The sequence below is a fragment of the Homo sapiens genome, chromosome 1, assembly GCF_000001405.40.
Source record: "Homo sapiens chromosome 1, GRCh38.p14 Primary Assembly".
Taxonomy (NCBI): domain Eukaryota; kingdom Metazoa; phylum Chordata; class Mammalia; order Primates; family Hominidae; genus Homo; species Homo sapiens.
In genome coordinates, this window is record NC_000001.11 from 47,359,603 (window position 1) to 47,381,737 (window position 22,135).

The window sequence follows — 22,135 nt, forward strand, 5'->3', positions numbered from 1 at the left end:
GGTGTCGAACTCCTGACCTCAAGTGATCCACCCGTCTCAGCCTCCCAAAGTGCTGGGATTACAGACCTGAGCCCCCACACCTGGCCTGAAACCTTTCTTTTATAAGGAGAAATAGGAGAGGCTGGTCTTGAACTCCTGACCTCAAGTGTTCCACCTGCCTCAGCCTCCCAAAGGGCTGAGATTACAGGTGTGAGCCACCACACCCAGCCTGAAACCTTTATCTTATAAGGAGAAGTAGGAGAGGCTAGGCCTTCATCTGAGTGATTTGATGTATACAAAGATCCATGTTACCTTTGCTGTGTGCCTTTCTCCAGGTATTCTCTTAAGAACTGAATTAACTGATTCCTAGGCTTTTAGACCACCTGCAACAATATCTAGGTTGTAGTGATACATGAGAGACTTCTTAAGATATTGCTTCTTCCTAGAAATAAGATGAGTATGTAACTTGTATGTTCTACAGTGACAATAAGAATTTATCATTTAATTAACAAGACTAAGTGAGCGTTTCCTAAGAGTAACAAGACCCCTGTGCCTATCCATTAATGCTGGAAGTTTTCAAATTATTGCCTCTGAGCTCCTGGACTCCCTGAAGGTGTCTAAGCCTGGTCTCCATCTTTGACCATTTTCCATTCCTTCTAATGTAGGGAATGCAAATTGATTCAAAATGGCTGAGATGAATTAAAAGAAATAAAAATACTGGAATTGACCAATTACAGAATAAAATTAAAGTGTGAAAATTCCAGTTTACGTTTCCTATAGGGTCCATTTGGCATATAAATCAGATGCTATAATCCTCTATTATCTGAGAAGCCATCCGTAAAATGTTAGAGGGACATCCAGGCCTTACATAGATGAGGAAACAATCTGTTTAGTGGCTTCTAACTCACTCTTAAGTTTTATTTATTCTATTTTCTTGCCATTGCTTCTGAAGAATCAGCTTCCCCAAGCAGACAATCATCAAGTCATTAAAGTCATAAAGACTTTAAGTTATGCAAATATGGAGAATTACTTTTATTAATTAGTAGTGAGGCTCAAGTCATTTTATAGATGCAAGTCACTATTGCATCCTTTGTTAATATAACCCTTTTCCTTCCTCTGTGTCAGCACATTGCTTGGCACTTTGTAGACAGCAAATATTTATGGATTTACAGTAAGTCGAAGTGTTGCCTGAATTAAGGTTTTGTTACATGAATATTGTCATCCAAAAGACCACCAGGATGGCTACATAGTAGAAAGAAGAGCTTTATTGGTGATATCAGTTTGCATACTGGGGAGAGAGTCCCTGGCATAGATTGTGCTCCATCTTTGAGGAGGAGATGGGCAGGTTGGGTTTTATGCTTCACAGGGCTTAATATTATATAGTAGTCTTAAATATGAAGCTGGTTTGGGAGAAAAGCTATACATATTTATGAGGGGAATTGGGCACATGTGCAATGGGTAAACATATGTAACATACATCCCATGTTCATTTTGGGGTGGGCTTTTAGCATTAAAATAAGGTGGACTTGTTGGGCGTGGTGGCTCACACCTGTAATCCCAGCACTTTGGGAGGCCGAGGCCAGTGGATCATGAGGTCAAGTGATCAAGACCATCCAGGCCAATATGGTGAAACCCTGTCTTTACTAAAAATACAAAACTTAGCTGGGCATGGTGGTGCGCACCTGTAATCCCAGCTACTCTGGAGGCTGAGACAGGAGAATCACTTGAACCCAGGAGGCGGAGGTTGCAGTGAGCCGAGATCGCGCCACTGCACTCCAGCCTGGGCGACAGAGCAAGACTCTATCTCAAAAATAAATACATAAATAAAATAAGGTGGAATTTGGCTCTTTAGGTCAAAGGCGAACTATAGGACACAAAGACAAGTTTGTGTGCAACCTCTATAAAGTGGCTGAAACTGGCTTAAGATCTGCAACTGCATATCAGAAAAGAATGTTTCTGAGGCTGGTCCTCTGTCCAATCACAGTTACAGTGGTCTGGGTTGTAAATCAGAGTTAGGAGGGGTCTGATAATTTGCAAGAGTGTGATTTTTTCTTGTAGCCGTAGGAATTTAGAAATTTGCCATGTCAGCCAGGCCCTGAGCCCCGGACCTGTAAGCAACTTTTGTTTCCTTAACCTTAGGGTCCATCTTAGTTGATAAAGGGATGTCTATTTTGGTCTTTCAGATCACAAGGGAAAAACATTGAGGAAAATGTTGTAATTGTCTGCAATTGAATGGATTATATCCTTCCTTTTTCTCCTTTCTAGGATATAAGCTTTTAAAATACTACTCTTTTTTTTTTTTTTTTTTGACGGAGTTTTGCTCTTATTGCCCAGGCTGGAGTGCAATGGCGCGATCTTGGCTCACCACAACCTCCGCCTCCCAGGTTCAAGCAATTTTCCTGTCTCAGCCTCCTGAATACCTGGGATTACAGGCATGCGCCACTATGCCTGGCTAATTTTGTATTTTTAGTAGAAATGGGGTTTCTCCATGTTGGTCAGGCTGGTCTTGAACTCCTGACCTCAGGTGATTCGCCTGCCTTGGCCTCCCAAATTGTTGGGATTATAGGCGTGAGCCACAGCACCCGGCCTTTTTTTTTTTTTTTTCGAGACGGAGTTTGGCTCTTGTTGCCTAGGCTGGACGGCAGTGGCACGATCTTGGCTCACTGCAACCTCCGCCTTCTGGGTTCAAGCGATTCTCCTGCCTCAGCCTCCCCAGTAGCTGGGATTACAGGCACACACCACCACGCCCGGCTAATTTTTTGTATTTTTAGTAGAGACAGGGTTTCACCATGGCCAGGCTGGTCTTGAACTCCTGACCTCAGGTGATCCGCCCGACTTGGCCTCCCAGAGTGTTGGGATCACAGGCATAAACCACCACGCCCAGCCTGGAGATGGAGTTTCACTCTTGTTGCTCAAGCTGGAGTGCAGTGGCACGATCTCGGCTCACTGCAACCTCCGCCTCCCGGGTTCAAGCAATTCTCCTGCCTCAGCCTCCTGAGTAGCTGGGATTACAGGCACATGCCACCACGCCTGGCTAATTTAAAATATTACTCTTTATTAGAAAAAGAAACATGCTTCATGCTAATTTGGAGGTTATCTGCAAAAGCTTTCTACTTAAGAAAATATTTAGCTTCGTTGAGAACTTCCATACTTTAATATGTGGATTTGCGATGAAATATGCATGGTCAAATGCAATGCACACATTTACAAATACTGTGAGAGCAAACTAAAAATGAGATTAGGAATCCACTAGCAATTTAAGTCAGATATTATACTCAGCTTTCTCCCACTAGATATTTTTTTCTTAATGATAAGCTTCCTTTAAGAGTGATTATAGGAAAAACCCTTTTTTCCAACCTCTATGGGTGGGACTGGAAGGAATTCTAAAAAGTTGGCCAGTAAATATCTGGGCAGTGTATTCTTACAGTCAAAGGAAAGTAAGTTCCCCAGGGATGGCAAGTATTTTTTCTGGAAAATCCTTATCATATGTCTTATTTATATTACAGATGTTCCTCAACTTAAAATGTGGTTGTGTCCCAGAAAACCCATTGTAAGTTGAAAATGTAGTAAGTCAAAGTGTGCTTTAAACTTACAATACAGTATTTTCAGTTTACGATGGATTTGGAGGTAACCCCCATCATAAATGAGGAGTGTACTGAATGTGTATGCTTTCACACCATTGTAAAGTCGAAAAATCCTAAATTGAACCATCCGAAGTTAGAGATTGTCTGTAACTGGTAAAAGTACTATTAGAACTGTTTTGAGGTTGGGTGTGGTGCCTCAGGCCTGTAATCCCAGCACTTTGGGAGGCCGAGGCGGGTGGATCATTTGAGGTCAGGAGTTCAAGACCAGCCTGACCAACATGGTGAAACTGTCTACTAAACATACAAAAAAATTTGCTGCGCATGGTGGCGGCTGCAGTGGTGGGCGCCTGTAGTACCAGCTACTTGGGAGGCTGAGGCAGGAGAATCGCTTGAACCCTGGAGGTGGAGGTTGCAGTGAGCCGAGATTGTACCACTGCACTCCAGCCTGGGCAACAGAGTGAGACTCCGCCTCAAAAACAAATAAACAAACAAACAAAAAACAGGCACGGTGGCTCACGCTTGTAATCCCAACACTTTGGAAGGCCGAGGCTGACGGATCATGAGATCAGGAGTTCAAGACCAGCCTGGACAACATGGTGAAACCCCATCTCTGCTAAAAATACAAATATTAGCCAGGTGTGGTGGCGGGCACCTATAGTCCCAGCTCCTCGGGACGTTGAGGCAGGAGAATCGCTTGAACCTGGGAGGCAGAGGTTGCAGTGAGCCAGGATTGCGCCACTGCACTCCAGGCTAGGTGATCGACCGAGATTCCGTCTAAAAGGAAAAAAAATGTTTTGAAACAGATAATAGACTTACATAAAGTGTTGCTGGGATGTTGTGGGCTCTAAAGCTGTTGTTTGCAGCAGGTACCAGACTGGTGCATCTGGATGACCTCCCCCCATAGTACCTGCAGCATTTTGGGGTGTTTGGGTGAAGGTGGATTGTTGACAGCACATAACCAGCATTTAGATTTTAAGGATCTGCCTTTAGATATGGGTTCATGGCCAAAAGAAAAAAAAAGATTCTAAGGTTTAGTAGTCTTATGGAGAATGCAACATAACCTTAGTCTTCGATGCTTCATAGATGTAAATCTAAAGGACGCCTAATAGTTTTATATATATATTTTTTGTTTGTTTGTTTTGTTTTGGTTTGGTTTTTTTGTTTGTTTGTTTGAGACAGTCTTGCTCTGTCACCCAGGCTGGCGTGCAGTGGCGCAATCTCAGCTCACTGCAAGCTCCGCCTCCCGGGTTCACGCCATTCTCCTGCCTCAGCCTCCCAAGTAGCAGGACTACAGGCGCCTGCCACCACGCCTGGCTAATTTTTTGTATTTTTAGTAGAGACGGGGGTTTCACCATGTTAGCCAGGATGGTCTTGATCTCCTGACCTGGTGATCCACCCGCCTCAGCCTCCCAAAGTGCTGGGATTATAGGTGTGAGCCACCATGCCCAGCCATATATTTATATTTTTAATATATAATAATATAAATTATATACTATATTACATATAAATTTTATATATTATATGCCATAAGTTATGATATAAATTGTATAATATATAATATATGAAAATGTAATTTATATATTATACATTATGTGAATTTATATATGTTTTGTTTTGTTTTTTAGAGACAGAGTCTTGCTCTGTCTCCCAGGCTGGAGGGCAGTGGCATGATCATAGCTCACTACATCCTGGGCTCAAGTTTTCCTCCTGCCTCAAACTCCTAAGTAGCTGGGACTACAGGTGCACATAGCCTTGCCCAGCAAATGTTTTTATTTTTTGTAGAAACATGTTCACTGTGTTGCGCATGCTGGTCTTGAGCGTCTGACCTCAAGCAATCCTCTCACCTTGGCTTCCCAAAGTGCTAGAATTACAGGTGTGAGCCACTGTACCTGGCCGTACCCAATAGTTTTAATTCACTTCAGTTGCTTTAAAAATACATTTGTATTTAATATCTCTGCTATGTTCCCTCTATAATGCAAGAGAAGCTCAGTAGCAGTTCAGTGGCAATTTCTAATTGCCACATTAATGGGAGGAAGTGCCTGGCATCTGGATCTCTTCCTGCCTTCAAAGACTTGCCATTTGTGCATCATTTGTACCCTGAAGATCTTTTTTTTTTTTTTTGTCTTGTGTTTTCGTTGTTTTCTGAATTTAGGAGAGATGCAGTTGCTAAGAAATGAGATAAGTTAGGCCAGTTGGGATGGCTCATGCCTGTAATCTCAGCACTTTGAGAAGCTGAGGCAGGTGGATTGCTTGAGCCCAGGAGTTTGAGACCAGCCTGGGTAACATGGCAAAACCCCATCTCTACAAAAAGTACAAAAATTAGCTGGATGCAGTGGCATGTACCACTAGTCCCAGCTACTCGGGAGGCTGAGGTGGGAGAATTGCTTAAGCCTAGGAGGTGGAGGTTATAGTGAGCTGAGATCGTGCCACTGCACTCCAATCTGGGTGACAGAGTGAGACCCTGTCTCAAAAAAAAAAAAAAAAAGTGAGAGAAATTGAACAAGATGGTTTGATATTTGACCCCATAAAGTTGTCAACATTTGCCTAGTTGTAGTAAAATAGAGTACCATTTTGTACTTGTTGTGAACATGGTGCTTTTTTCTCCCTCCAAATCTTAGTGCATGATCCGTAAAGGTTATTGAATTGTTTTTCAACTTCTTAAAGGAAAAATTTCAGTTAAAATTTTAGGCACTTATTCTAAATGAATTGAGTTTATATATTTGTCACTAGAAAATTACTATCTTTAGGTCAGGCATGGTGGCTCATGCCTGTAATCCCAGCACTTTGGGAGGCCGAGGTGGGTAGATCACCTGAGGTTAGGAGTTCGAGACCAGCCTGGCCAACATGGTAAAACCCCATCTCTACTGAAAATACAGAAATTAGCCAGGCATGGTGGTGCACGCCTGTAATCCCAGCTGCTTGGGAGGCTGAGGCACGCGAATTGCTTGAACCTGGGAAGCAGAGGTTGCAGTGAGCAGAGATGGTGCTCCAGCCTAGGCGACAGAGCAAGACCCTGTCTGAACAACAACAACAAAAAGCCACGATTTTTAGTTCAATAGTAGCTTGTAATTGTAGTTATAGTATTTGTAAGTTGCTATGGTTTTGAGTGTTGCTTTTAAGACTGTTGTTAGTTACCCACTAAGTTTTAATTGCAAGGAAATTTCAGAGAATGTGAAAAAGTTTTGGTTAAGACTGGAAAATATCTATTCTTGCTTTCCTCAAAACTGGCTTCAGTGATTACTTAATGACAGCAGAATGCTTTGAAAATATGCTCTTTAAAGTCTAGCTGTTACTAAAATACCATAATAACTTATATGTAAGTGATAGTTGCTTTTTTGTTGTTGCTGCAACTGTGGTAAGAGGAAAGCATTATTAGCAAAATCCTTAAGAAAAATATAGTATAAAAAACTGGTAAATAGAGAATTTACAAAAATGGAATGTGGGTGAGAACATGAGACACATGTGTATAGGTTTGACATCTTTATATTCATTTGAATTCTTTGTTTCCTTGGACTTTGCAGGTAAGGTTGTTTTTTCTTTTTGACAAACTGTATAATAATAATAATTATTTTTATTTGAGATGGAGTCTCACTCTGTCACCCAGGCTGGAGTGCAGTGGTGTGATCTTGGCTCACTGCAACTTCTGCTGCCTGAGTTCAAGTGATTCTCCTGCCTCAGCCTCCTGAGTAGCTGGGATTACAGGCACCTGCAACCACACCTGGCTAATTTTTTGTATTTTTAGTAGAGACAGGGTTTCGCCATGTTGGCCAGGCTGGTCTCAAACTCCTGACCTCAGGTGATCCACCCGCCTTGGCCTCCCAAAGTGCTGGGATTATAGGTGTGAGCCACCGCACCCAGCCTTTTTTTCTTTCTTTTAAAAAAAAAGTTTAATAGAGATGAGGTCTGTGTTGCTTAGGCTGGTCTTGAACTCCTGGGCTCAAGCCATCCTTCTGCATCAGCCTCCCAAAGTGCTAGGATTACAAGCATGATCTACCTTGCCCAGCCTGACCATTTCTTCTAATGGAAGGTCCTATATGACAGAGAGACATGGATGATATTAGGATCTTGTTTATTCTCATCAAACTTTATACTCAATTATAGTCAGCAAATAAACTATTTAGAGTTTTCTTTTCATTTGCTGACTACCTTACCGTTAACTTATTATTTAGTAAGCAAGAACAAATTTAACCAGCAATTTCGGGAATGAGAAAAGGAGTAAAGAATATATATGGCTTCTGTAATCCGAAAACAGAAAACTCACCATAACCTGGGTAATTGAAAGAGTTGCTTTTGTAAAATGTGCCGTTGAAATACTCTTTAAAAAGGGGGTTGGGAGTGTGGGCTGCCTCAAATCTTAACATCGAAGCTAAAGATAACATTTAATTTATCACATATTTATTGTATACTTGGATAAAATGAAAACTCCATTGAGGGAGTCTTAAGAATTTGGGATGATATGGTTGTTGTAACTGAGCGATAAATATAGTTATCTTGGTGTCTTTAATATTTGAGAGTAAAAGCATTTTTAAAATCAATTGTATGATTCTTTTAATAAAAAGGAACTTGCAAGTTTATGTGGAAGAAGAAGCTTTTCTTTTTGTTTTTCTTTTTTCACTTTTTGAGACAATGTCTTGCTCTGTCACCCAGGCTGGAGGGCAGTGGTGCAATCACGGTTCACTGCAACCTTAAACTCCCAGACTCAAACAGTCCTTTTGCATCAGCCTTACAAGTAGCTAGGACTACAGGCATGAATCACCATACCCAGCTAATTTTTAAATTTATTTTTTATTTTTTATTTTTATTTGAGATGGAGTCTCGCTGTCGCCCAGGCTGGAGTGCGGTGGCACGATCTCAGCTCACTGCAACCTCCGCCTCCCGGGTTCAAGCGATTCTCCTGCCTCAGCCTCCTGAGTAGCTGGGATTACAGGCATGCACCACCATGCCTGGCTAATTTTTGTGTTTTTAGAGAGATGGGGTTTCACCATGTTCAGGCTGGTCTCAAACTCCTGACCTCATGATCCACCCACCTCAGCCTCCCAAATTGTTGGGATTACAGGTGTGAGCCACTACGCCCAGCCAGGATATATTTATCTGAACATTATAGCTATGAAGAATAAAGATATCCATTAAGCAAACTGGATTATGGGAAATATCTTAAATTTTTCTTTATTATTTAATATACAAGCAAAACTTCTTTATTGTAGAAAAATTAGAATATAGAAATTAACACAAAGGAAAAAAAGTATAGTCCTACCACTGGGTTGAATGAATTCTGATATTTTTCCTATGTGTGCTTCTTTCAGAAATATGGCTACACACACCTTTCTGCAGGAGAGCTGCTTCGTGATGAAAGGAAGAACCCAGATTCACAGTATGGTGAACTTATTGAAAAGTACATTAAAGAAGGAAAGATTGTACCAGTTGAGATAACCATCAGTTTATTAAAGAGGGTAAGGAGTGTGAATGCCAACCAGTTCAAACCAGCGAGGAAAGAAGAAATTAAATTCACCTTTTGGCCAGGCAGTTGCTCATGCTTGTGATCCCAGCATTTTGGGAAGCCAAAGCAAGAGGATCACTTGAGGCCAGGAATTCAAGACCAGCCTGGACAACCTAGTGAAACCCCATCTCTACAAAAAAATTTTTTAAAAAGCCATGCGTGGTGGCATATGCCTGTAGTCCCAGCTGCTTGTGAGACAGAGGCAGAAGGATTGCTTGACCCCAGAAGTTCAAGTCCAGCCTGGGAAACATAGTGAGACCTCCTCTCAAAAATAAATAAATAAACAACAATAATAATAAAAATAAATCCACCTTTCATATGTGTAATGAAAAATATCAAAGATTTTTTGTTTTGTTTTGTTTTGAGACAGTGTCTTTGTCACCCACGCTGGTGTGCAGTGTCCTGATCACAGCTTGCTGCAGCCTCAACCTTCCAGGCTTAAGCCATCTTCCCACCTCAGCCTCCTGAATAGCTGGGACTACAGGTGCATGCCACCACACCTAGCTAATTTTTTTCTATTTTTTGTGGAGACAGGGTCTCACTATGTTGTGTAGGCTAGGCTGGAACTCCTGGGCTCAAGTGATCCTCTCACCTCGGCCTCCCAAAGTGCTGGGATTACAGGAGAGAGCCACCACACCTAGCTCAGAGTATTGAATTTCTTGCTTGTGGAAGGTGGTTATGCTTGAGAATGGCAGAACTGGAAACTTTGCTTTCACCTGGGAAGAAAGCGGACAGTGGCAAGGATTCTCTGCTTTGATTTAGGATCACCTATAGCTCAACTTAACATCCATTTATGTGCACTTGGTCCTTTCTTCCCAACATTCAGACAGTTATTCTCTTCCATTTCTGTTTCATCTTTTTTCCTCCCTCTCCTGCTCCCTTTCCTTTTTTCTTTTTTGCTTGCTTTCTTTTTTTTTTGAGATAGAGTCTCGCTCTGTCGCCAGGCTGGAGTGTAGTGGCGCGATCTCGGCTCACTGCAACCTCTGCCTCCCGGGTTCAAGAGATTCTCCTGTCTCAGCCTCCCGAGTAGCTGGGACTACAGGCGTGCACCACCATGCCCAGCTAATTTTTGTATTTTTAATAGAGATAGGGTTTCACCATGTTGGCCATGATGGTCTCGATCTCTTGACCTCATGATCTGCCTGCCTCAGCCTCCCAAAGTGCTGGGATTAGAGGTGTGAGCCACCGTGCCCGGCCCCCAATTTTTTTTTTTTTAAATAAACCTCTTTCTTTCTTCTTTCTCTCTCTTTTTTTTTTTTTTTTTGGCGGGGAGACGGAGTTTCGCTCTGTCGCCCAGGCTGGAGTGCAGTGGCGTGAACTCGGCTCACTGCAAGCTCCGCCTCCTGGGTTCACGCCATTCTCCTGTCTCAGCCTTCCGAGTAGCTGGGAGTACAGGCGCCCGCCATCAAGCCTGGATAATTTTTTGTGTATTTTTTAGTAGAGACGGGGTTTCACCGTGTTAGCCAGGATGGTCTCCATCTCCTGACCTCACGATCCACCCGCTTGGGCCTCCCAAAGTGCTGGGATTACAGGCGTGAGACACCATGCCCAGCCCTTTCTCTGTTTTTTAACCCACGTCCCTCTCATCATTGATGTTCGCTCAGCCATGGTGTCTACTTTTCTGGTGTATCACCATCTTCAATGTGAAATGCTAAGACTTAAGAACTTTTAAAACTAAAATATGTCACATCTGAGGCTGGGCGCAGTGGCTCACGCCTGTAATCCCAGCACTTTGGGAGGCCGAGGCAGGGGGATCACTTGAGGTCAGGAGTTCGAGACCAGTCTGGCCAACATGGTGAAACCCCGTCTCTACCAAAAAATATAAAAAATTAGCCAAGTGTGGTGGCACACACCTGTAATCCCAGTTACTTGGGAGGCTGAGGCAGAAGAATCGCATGAACCTGGGAGGCAGAGGTTTTGGTGAGCCAAGATCATGCTACTGCACTCCAGGTTGGGTGACAGAGTGAAACTCTGTTTCTTAAAAAAAAAAAAATGTCCGGGTGTGGTGGCTCACGCCTGTAATCCCAGAACTTTAAGAGGCCAAGGTGGGTGAATTACGAGGTCAGGAGTTCAAGACCAACATGGCCAACATGGTGAAACCCCATCTCTACTAAAAATACAAAAAAAAAAAAAAAAAAATTAGTCGGCCGTGGTGGCAGGCACCTGTAATCCCAGCTGCTCGGGAGGCTGAGGCAGGAGAATTGCTTGAACCAAGGAGGCAGAGGCGGAGGTTGCAGTGAGCCAGGATCGCACCATTGTACTCCAGCCTGGGCAACAGGGTGAGATTCCGCCTCAAAAAATAAATAAATAAATAAATAAATGTCACATCTGAAAAACAGACACCCTGTATTTACTAGGTAACTCTTCATTCTAGATTCCTAGAACTATAATCATTAACAGGTATTTTCACATAGAAGAACAGTGAGGGAGAAAAAGAAATGCAATATTGGGAACAACAAGAAATGGCTGAAGCCTGATGGAAAAGAGCTATGTAAGCATCTGGTTGGAACTAAAGACATTGGGGATGAAAAGTGGCTTGTACACACATTCTTACCTCTTGTCTCAGAGGTTGGAGTAACCTGCTTCCATTCCAAAATAAACAAATCTCTCTCCCTATTCACTCTTTCTAATGTCCTTTCTCTGCTCTATAAAGCAGAGAAAGTATTATGAAAGAGCATATGGTTTTTACTTTTTCACTCTCTACTTTTCCACTCTCTACTTTTCAACCCTTTGCAGTCAGATTCTGTTTCCATCTCCATTGCAGCTGCTCTTGCATGTTACCAATGATGATCTCTATCAAATAATACTTTTGTCATTATTTTTCTTGTAGTATTTAACTTTAATCAGTCTGTTTGAAAATCATTCCTCCTTTGTTCTTTATGACAGCGTCTCTTTTTCTTCTCTCCCTACTGAGTGACTGCTATTTCTCTATCCTCTTTAATAGTTATTCTTTTGCAAGTTTCCAAAACCATGATGCTTCTCAGGGTTTTATACTTGGTCTTATTCAGCTCTCATTTCATATGTTTCTTTCTGGATGGTTTTAGCCATACCCAAAGCTTTCACTATGCTCATGCTGCTAAAGTCTATAGCTCTAAAACAAAATGTTTGTTTTGAATTCCAGACATATATTTTTAACTACCTAACTACTAGGCCTTTATTTGAATGTCTCACAAGTGTCTCAAAATCAACATGTCAGAGGCTGAGTGTATTGTCTAAAATGTGATCTTCCTTTACTTCCTGTCTTGGTTAATGGTTCTGCCATCTACCTAGCTACTCAAGGCATAAATCTGGGAATCATCCTATATTCTCCTGCCTCTTCCTCACTTTCCCAAATCCATTCAGTGAGCATATCTTTCCAGTTATTTTTCTTTTAATCCTCTTCTGTTAGTCTCTTCTCTGTCATCACCTTAGTTCACATCCTCTTTTTTCCTATTTTTTTTTTTTTTTGAGACAGAGTCTCTCACTCTGTCCGCCAGGCTGGAGTGCTGTGGCACGATCTCGGCTTACTGAAACCTCCACCTCCTGGGTTCAAGCATTTCTCTGCCTCAGCCTCCCCAGTAGCTGGGATTACAGGTGCCAGCCACCACGCCCAGCTAATTTTTGTATTTTTAGTAGAGACGGGGTTTCACCATCTTGGCCGGGCTGGTTCTTTTGTTGCCTTTGTTTTGGGGCAGCCAGTGACATTTGGGTTTAATTAGCTTCCGTTAAAAAGTATTTTATCCTACATTAATAATTAATGCTAATGGTCTTTTATATTTGTCCAAAGCTTTGTGTTGTTGGACTTGAATTATATGAATAGCAGAGTTGAGCACCTGTAGAAGTAATATACTTTCCACTATAGCAAAACGACTTGGGAAGAGCAAAGGGAATAAAGAGAGGGTCTCCAGTTGCTGGAGCAAAGATAATGGTTAATGGTTATTTTCCTCTTATTGCCGCTCTTATTGTTTATTTATAACTTTGTGAATGTGTATGTGAAAGTAACATATACTTAACTGTAGAAAATTTGGAAACCACAGAAAAAAATTGTGTGTATAAAATGAGGTGGTTTTGAGAGGGGCATATACCCATAACCACACCAACTTGAGGCAACCATCTTAATACATTGATAGATTTCCTTCTAGTCTTTTTTCTTTCTTTCTTTTTTTCTTTTCTTTTTTTTTTTTGCTATGTACCCTCCACCCTTTACTTATGGTTTAAATAATAATAATAAAACACCCATGTATACACTACCATGCTTGAGAAATTTCATTTTGTTAATGTTGTATTGAACCTAAATCTTCTTTTTCCTTTAGGAAATGGATCAGACAATGGCTGCCAATGCTCAGAAGAATAAATTCTTGATTGATGGGTTTCCAAGAAATCAAGACAACCTTCAAGGATGGAACAAGACCATGGATGGGAAGGCAGATGTATCTTTCGTTCTCTTTTTTGACTGTAATAATGAGGTAATGAAAATCTTCATCTGCCCACATAGGCTTTAAGCAACTGTTAGTCAACTATTAGAAAAAACAAAGGATTTTTTAACTTATATTTTATATTGGCAGCAGTGTTTTTTGAATTGGTAGATTGGATGGACGGAACAGCACTGTCTTGCTGTTGGAGTATTAAAAACTATTTGGCATTAGCAGCCTTGTGGAGCTAAATTTTCCTTTATTTTCAAAATAACAAGAATCAGTTTTGATTTTTAAAAAATAAGAATTGACATACATAATAATATTAGGTAATGAAGCTGAACTACTTTCTTAGGTAGACATTATTATCAAAGAGTATTTTGCCTTAGGGTGTTGTTTACTGGAAGAGAAACACGTTTCTGAGAAGTTGGGAAAACTTTCTGTTTTAAAGAAACATACAGGGCTGGGTGCGGTGGCTCACGCTTGTAATCCTAGCAGTTTGGGAAGCCAAGGTGGGCGATCACCTTATGTCAGGAGTTCAAGACCGGCCTGGCCAACATGGTGAAACCCCTTCTCTACTAAAAATACAAAAATTAGCCTGGCATGGTGGCATATGCCTGTAATCCCAGCTACTTGGGAGGCTGAGGCAGGAGAATTGCTTGAACCTGGGAGGCAGAGGTTGCAGTGAGCCAAGATGGCACCACTGCACTCCAGCCTGGGCGACAGAGCAAGACTGTCTCAAAAAAAAGAAAAAAAAAAAGAAACATACAGGATAGCCTGATTTGTCTTAAGAGTGAAATGATCTTGAAAAAAGTAAAAAAATGTACTTTTCTTTCTGGTAGTTCTAATAATGAAGCCAGACATACTTTTGAATAACTAAATACATTTCTCAGAATCATTTAATTAAAAAGCCTGAAGTAGTTAGTACCTTGAAAGAAGTTGGCTGTTCTTAGGTTGAATTGTAAATGTGCCCCTGGTGGAGAATCTTGCTGCAGCCTTTGTGTTGTTTTATTTTATTTTATTTTTTTGAGACAGAGTCTCACTCTGTTGCCCAGGCTGGAGTACAGTGGCACGATCTTAGCTCACTGCAACCTCCCAGGTTCAAGCAGTTCTCCTGCCTCAGCCTCCCAAGTAGCTGGGATTACAGGCATGTGCACCATGCCTAGTTAATTTTTGTATTTTTAGTAGAGACGGGGTTTTGCCATGTTGGCCAGGCTGGTCTCGAACTCCTGACCTCAGGTGATCCACCCGCCTTAGCCTTCCAGAGTGTTGGAATTGCAGGCCTGAGCCACCATGCCTGGCCTTTTGCATTGTTTTAAAACGTAACTCTCTTCTTCCAACCCCCCAAAATATGTTTTCATTTACCCTTCAAAGTTAACTTTAGAATGTTACCACAGCTTTATAACAAGGAATGTTTATTCACAATTAACAAAGGATGCTTTATTCAAATGCAAATATGTTGACTCAAATATTTTCAAATTTATGGAATTATCAAAAAGCAGCCAAAAATGAAACAAAGTTTGAGGCATGTAATTCATACCTAATAAGTTAATAATATATCTGAGATGGAATCATACACATACAGATCTTTTTATTACAGTTTGAAAAAAAATAAGCAGGAAAAACTGAGTCATGAATGAATTCTTATTATGCTCTGTACTTATTTAACCTAGTTTATATAAATTGAACCACATGTTTACGTTTAAAAGGACTTTGCATGTTGATTAATGAATTAGACACATTGGGTTTATTGCAGGGTTTTTTTGGTCATCTCTTTAAACTCTTGTTTTCTTTGCAGGTTAAAAGAATGGCAAATTCATATCTATATTTTTAATAACTTTGTATCTCTTTTTAGATTTGTATTGAACGATGTCTTGAGAGGGGAAAGAGTAGTGGTAGGAGTGATGACAACAGAGAGAGCTTGGAAAAGAGGTACTTGGCAGTTTTTACATACAACCACTTCAATCCCAGACCTGCCTTATTTGGTACAGGAATAAAAGAGTCACATTTAAACATGTAAAATGGCTTGTTTAAGATGTTAGGTCAATCAGTCGGGGCAGATCCAGTGTTCTGTGAGCTCTCCTATAACATGTAGAAGAAAGGATAGATACCTAGAACCTTGCAATATTTACTTCTTTTGCAGAATTCAGACCTACCTTCAGTCAACAAAGCCAATTATTGACTTATATGAAGAAATGGGGAAAGTCAAGAAAATAGATGCTTCTAAATCTGTTGATGAAGTAAGTGTTCCTAGCCTGTCTTTAAAAAAATATGTCAAATAAAAATGTGATTATTTGTTTTGGGGTAAGCAGGAAAAAAAGAAATACTATCACAGATTAGTTAGTTTTTCAAGACACTGGAAGCCAGTCATGGTGGCTCATGCTTGTAATCCCAGCACAAGTGTTCAAGACCAGCCTGGGCAACATACTGGGACTCTGTCTCTTAAAAAAAAAAGAAGACACTGGGGACTAAATGAAAAATTAGGGTTTTTTTCCTTTCTGAGTAAAACCTAAAATGAGGTTTATAACTTCAAACTTGTTCTTCATGAGAAATGGGTGGTTTATGAATTCTAAATTTGCTCCCAAGCACTAGAAAACTGGTATTTTAAGAAATGTGAGTTGGATCACATGAATGGCAAGTCATCTAGCTCAAGAGCTCCAGGCTTCTTTCTTCTGCCACAGAACAAGTAGCACCACAGGTGAAGGTTTCCATGACTTATCACTTCTCTTTCTTTTTCATAAATAGCGATCTCTAAATTGTGGTTTGCAAGCGCAACAAAATTTCTAGTGTCTCTTAAGGAACCTAACCTCCCTTTCCCCGATTCCCTGAATCTTCATCCTCTTATAGTCATAAGATAAAAAAGAAAGGCCCAGGGGAAGAAGATTCAGGGAATCTTTTTTTAATCCATTGACACTTTGTATAGAGGTGAGGTAATACATGAGAAAACTGTGTTTTAGAATCAGAACTAAGAAGATAAGCCACTTCAGTTATATTTTATATTTTATTTTACATTTTATTTACAGTTTATATTTTATCAAATTATTGGTAGCCTCTCAAGAATATTTTGTCCTAAAAGCACTAATCGAATGTAATATAGTCATAATTTTATATGTATTATTTATATAATATTACTGTCTAAAGTAAAATAGATGAAACTAAGTATGTGATTCAAAAAAATGATTCATTTTGAAAATTAATGTAAATTTGATTTTTTTGTGTGTGACCCTGTTTGGAGATGGAGTCTTTATTTTTTATATTATTTTATTTATATATATTTTTTGAGACAGTGTCTCACTCTGTTGCCCAGGCTGGAGTGCAATGGTGTGATCTCAGCTCACTGCAACCTCCGTCTCCTGGGTTCAAGTAATTCTCCTGCCTCAGCCTCCTGGGTAGCTGGGATTACAGGTGCCCGCCACCACGCCTGGCTGATTTTTGTATTTTTAGTAGAGACGGGGTTTTGCCATGTTGGCCAGGCTGGTCTTGAACTCCTGAACTCAAGTGATCTGCCCGCCTCGACCTCCCAAAGTGCTGGGATTACAGATGTGAGCCACCGCGCCCCGCCAAATTTGATTATTTTTAATAAGAACTTAGCTGTATGGTATTTTAACAGTACCTGCTTTTAAAATTATTATCATCTTTTTCCTTTACAGGTTTTTGATGAAGTTGTGCAGATTTTTGACAAGGAAGGCTAATTCTAAACCTGAAGGCATCCTTGAAATCATGCTTGAATATTGCTTTGATAGCTGCTATCATGACCCCTTTTTAAGGCAATTCTAATCTTTCATAACTACATCTCAATTAGTGGCTGGAAAGTACATGGTAAAACAAAGTAAATTTTTTTATGTTCTTTTTTTTGGTCACAGGAGTAGACAGTGAATTCAGGTTTAACTTCACCTTAGTTATGGTGCTCACCAAACGAAGGGTATCAGCTATTTTTTTTAAAATTCAAAAAGAATATCCCTTTTATAGTTTGTGCCTTCTGTGAGCAAAACTTTTTAGTACGCGTATATATCCCTCTAGTAATCACAACATTTTAGGATTTAGGGATACCCGCTTCCTCTTTTTCTTGCAAGTTTTAAATTTCCAACCTTAAGTGAATTTGTGGACCAAATTTCAAAGGAACTTTTTGTGTAGTCAGTTCTTGCACAATGTGTTTGGTAAACAAACTCAAAATGGATTCTTAGGAGCATTTTAGTGTTTATTAAATAACTGACCATTTGCTGTAGAAAGATGAGAAAACTTAAGCTTTGTTTTACTACAACTTGTACAAAGTTGTATGACAGGGCATATTCTTTGCTTCCAAGATTTGGGTTGGGGGCACTAGGGGTTCAGAGCCTGGCAGAATTGTCAGCTTTAGTCTGACATAATCTAAGGGTATGGGGCAAGGATCACATCTAATGCTTGTGTTCCTTATACTCTATTATATAGTGTTATTCATGATTCAGCTGATCTTAACAAAATTCGTAGCAGTGGAACCTTGAAATGCATGTGGCTAGATTTATGCTAAAATGATTCTCAGTTAGCATTTTAGTAACACTTCAAAGGTTTTTTTTTGTTTGTTTTCTAGACTTAATAAAAGCTTAGGATTAATTAGAAGAAGCAATCTAGTTAAATTTCCCATTTGTATTTTATTTTCTTGAATACTTTTTTCATAGTTATTTGTTTAAAAAGATTTAAAAATCATTGCACTTTGGTCAGAAAAATAATAAATATATCTTATAAATGTTTGATTCCCTTCCTTGCTATTTTTATTCAGTAGATTTTTGTTTGGCATCATGTTGAAGCACCGAAAGATAAATGATTTTTAAAAGGCTATAGAGTCCAAAGGAATATTCTTTTACACCAATTCTTCCTTTAAAAATCTCTGAGGAATTTGTTTTCGCCTTACTTTTTTTTCTTCTGTCACAATGCTAAGTGGTATCCGAGGTTCTTAATATGAGATTTAAAATCTTAAAATGTTTCTTATTTTCAGCACTTACATCATTTGGTACACAGGGTCAAATAGGGCAAATAATTTTGTCTTTGTATAATAGATTTGATATTTAAAGTCACTGGAAATAGGACAAGTTAATGGATGTTTTTATATTTTAATAGAATCATTTATTTCTATGTGTTATGAAATTCACTTAATGATAAATTTTTCAACATACTTGCCATTAGAAAACAAAGTATTGCTAAGTACTATAACATATTGGCCACTAAAATTCATATTGAGATTATCTTGGTTTCTTGGAAGAGATAGGAATGAGTTCTTATCTAGTGTTGCAGGCCAGCAAATACAGAGGTGGTTTAATCAAACAGCTCTAGTATGAAGCAAGAGTAAAGACTAAGGTTTCGAGAGCATTCCTACTCACATAAGTGAAGAAATCTGTCAGATAGGAATCTAAATATTTATAGTGAGATTGTGAAAGCAACCTTAAAGTTTTGAAGAAGACTGATGAGACTAGGTGCTTTGCTTCCTTTCATCAGGTATCTTTCTGTGGCATTTGAGAACAGAAACCAAGAAACATGGTAATTACTAAATTATGAGGCTTTGCTTTTTGTTTGCTTTTAAGTAGAAAAACATGTTGGCAACATTGAGTTTTGGAGTTGATTGAGATAATATGACTTAACTAGTTTTGTCATTCCATTTGTTAAAGATACAGTCACCAAGAATGTTTTGAGTTTTTTGAAAGACCCCAATTTAAGCCTTGCTTATTTTTAAATTATTTCCATTCAGTGATGTTGGATGTATATCAGTTATTTAGTAAATAATCTCAATAAATTTTGTGCTGTGGCCTTTGCTATTTGTTGGTTTAGATTTCTGTTCTCTAAGCATATTGAAGATCAAGAAGTATCCTATTTAACATGTGGGTCCTCACACTACAAAAGCAGAGTTCAGGACTGTCGATGCAAAGAGTCAAACTCTGTAAAATATTTGAAGAGATTTATTCTAAGCCAAATATGAGTGATGAGTGGCTTGTGACACAGCCCTTAGGAGATCCTGAGAACAAGTGCATACAGTGGTCGGTGTGCAGCTTGTTTTTATACATTTTAGGGAGACATGAGACATCAGACAATACATGTAAGATGTATACATGGTTCAGTCCAGAAAGGTGGGACAACTGGAAGCAGGTGTGGGGAAAGCTTCCAAGCCTTAGGCAGATTTAAAGATTTTCTGATTGGCAATTGGTTGAAAGAGTTACTATAAATAGAAAGGAACGTCTAGGTTGATACAAGGTTTGTTGGAGACCAAGGTTTTATCATGCAGATGAAGCCTTCAGGTAGCAGGCTTCAGAGAAAATAGACTGTAAATGCTTCTTATTAAGAGTGTGTTCTATCAGTAATTTCAAAAGGGAGGAGAAGTATAATGAGGCATGTCTGGCTCTCCCTTCCCCATGATGGCCTGAAACTGGTTTTTCAGATGAACTCTGGAATGCCCTTGGCCTAGAGGAAGGGTCCATTCAGATGGTTGTGGGGGCGCTTAGAATTTTATTTTTGCTTTACAGGATTGAGGAAAATTTTTCATCCTGTTTTTGTGTTTTGGCTTAAGCAGAAAGCATGATTTTATCCCGTTCCTTCAAGAAGTAATCTCCACTGAGACAAAAGCAGTCTATTTCATTACCTACCAGCAGCATCAATCACTTATCTCTTTTGGGGGAAGATGACAGTAAGCAATGTATATCAGGATGTGGGCTTTTTGTGGACTTTTGGCTTTACTCTTGTAATTTAAGTGGTTCACAAACATTCCAGTGGTCCCTGGAGATAATAGTGGCTGAAAGTACTGGCCAGATGAGGTCAGCATCTTCTCCCCGGAGGTTTGGTTGTCATCTTCAAACACATACTAATTGCACAAGCAAATAGTGCTACAAACACTTTTTCTGGCCGGGCGCGGTGGCTCATGCCTGTAATCCCCAGCACTTTGGGAGGCCGAGGCGGGTGGATCATGAGGTCAGGAGTTTGAGACCAGCCTGACCAACATGGTGAAACCCTGTCTCTACTAAAATTACAAAAAAGTAGCTGGGCATGGTGGTGGGCGCCTGTAGTCCCAGCTACTCAGGAGGCTGAGGCAGGAGAATGGCGTGAACCCGTGGGCGGAGCTTGCAGTGAGCTGAGACTGCGCCACTGCACACCAGCCTGGGCGACAGAGCGAGACTCCGTCTCAAACAAACAAAAAAAACAAAACAAAAAAATATATTTTCTGCCTTCCAGGAGGTGTTTTTTTTTTTTTTTTTTTTTTTTTTTTCCGAAAACATTCTGATATAGACCGACCTTCCAGTGTCTTCTGTTGGTTAACTTTAATCATTCTTATGTTTTCTATTTCAGTTCTCCCTAGCCCACCTGCATACTTCAGCTAAATTAAGTATTCGTTAATTATACACATTTATTTATTTCTTATTTTTTATTTTTTTTGAGACGGAGTCTCGCTCTGTCGCCCAGGCTGGAGGGCAGTGGCGCGATTTCGGCTCATTGCAACCTCCGCCTCCCGGGTTCACGCCATTCTCCTGCCTCAGCCCCCCGACTAGCTGGGACTACAGGCGCCCGCCACCACGCCCGGCTAATTTTTTGTATTTTTAGTAGAGTCAGGGTTTCACCGTGTTAGCCAGGATGGTCTCGATCTCCTGACCTCGTGATCCGTCCGCCTCGGCTTCCCAAAGTGCTGGGATTACAGGCGTGAGCCACCGCGCCCGGCCTAAACATTTATTTTTAATGAAAGAAAGGAAGCTCATTTATTTTGTACCAAAGAGAAAGGAAAACAATGATCCTAATCACTTACTCCTTTATTTCCTCATCCCTGAAGCCAGTGTAAATACTCTCTTGGATTCAGGTATGCTTTTCTTTGGCTGGGTGTAGTTACTGTGTTTGTGATGTTACTCTTGGACCTCAGATAAGCCTGGAAGGTCACCATCTTTCCTGTTGTGCAGAGAGCTGATGGACAAAGTTGAATTTCTGGCTGCCGCCATATACCTGATGTCAACTGTACCATATCTAGATTATCACTCAGGCCCACACCTTTATGGGAATGCCTTTATGGGAGTTCATCAGAGCAGAACCTGCTTCTCTTAGGTTCCTCTTCTTCAGTGAGGCTTTTCCTTCATGGCTTTGTCCTCCTGAAATAAAGAGGGTAAGAGAAGAGGTTTTAATTATTTTGTCTTATTTAGGGAGACATGGGTAATACATCAGAACATTTCTCTAGGTGAGGTTCTTTCAGCTACAGAATATAATTTTTTATTTATGATACATTTCGAAGTAACTGTATGCGACTTGTGAACACTGGCCTTTCACACCATCCAAAGTAAAAGATCTGCAGAGACAGGTTACCAGATACTTTCCCACATCCCAGCCCTAATGTTAGAAAAGCACAGATACACTCTAAGAATTGCCTTCCACACAATGAAATCAAGCAGTTAAGCAGCATACCACATATGCATCCTCCTTTAATTGAAGAACCACATATTAAAAGAGAAAGTAAGATTTTAAAAAAGCCATGAATGTGAGCTTTGGGTATGTTCTTACACTACTATTTTGAAGGCTTTCTGGAAGATATGTACTCTCAGTAGCTATTTCTATGACATTAGAAAAAAAAAATGATATGTAGTCTCAAGATGAGCTTCCAAGAAAAACCCTGAACTGAGTAAGTTTCCTTGCTAATGTCTAAGACTTTGCAGCCCTTTGAGGACTGTGGGTTGAACTGGCCTTCTTAT

At 40.1% G+C, this 22,135-nt stretch overlaps 1 protein-coding gene and 1 long non-coding RNA gene across 5 annotated transcripts in view; one reads left to right on the top strand and one right to left on the bottom strand.

Moving 5' to 3' along the window:
- The window catches only part of CMPK1 (cytidine/uridine monophosphate kinase 1), a 45,050-nt gene extending 25,813 nt beyond the window's left edge, over positions 1-19,237 (top strand). For 2 of the 4 annotated variants that reach the window (NM_016308.3, NM_001366135.1), the window contains exons 2-6: positions 8,867-9,013; positions 13,353-13,505; positions 15,307-15,383; positions 15,595-15,691; positions 17,102-19,237. In NM_016308.3, the coding sequence (NP_057392.1) occupies positions 8,867-9,013; positions 13,353-13,505; positions 15,307-15,383; positions 15,595-15,691; positions 17,102-17,143 (516 nt within the window). In that variant the 3' untranslated portion in view covers positions 17,144-19,237. The remainder of the gene's footprint in view (positions 1-8,866; positions 9,014-13,352; positions 13,506-15,306; positions 15,384-15,594; positions 15,692-17,101) is intronic. The other 2 variants (NR_046394.2, NM_001136140.2) reach the window with 2 other exon arrangements.
- A 1,956-nt stretch (positions 19,238-21,193) lies between these two features.
- Positions 21,194-22,135, bottom strand: part of LINC01389 (long intergenic non-protein coding RNA 1389) — a 56,522-nt gene continuing 55,580 nt past the window's right edge. Inside the window, exon 5 of the long non-coding RNA NR_126355.1 lies at positions 21,194-21,541. This is a non-coding gene — a long non-coding RNA (long intergenic non-protein coding RNA 1389). The remainder of the gene's footprint in view (positions 21,542-22,135) is intronic.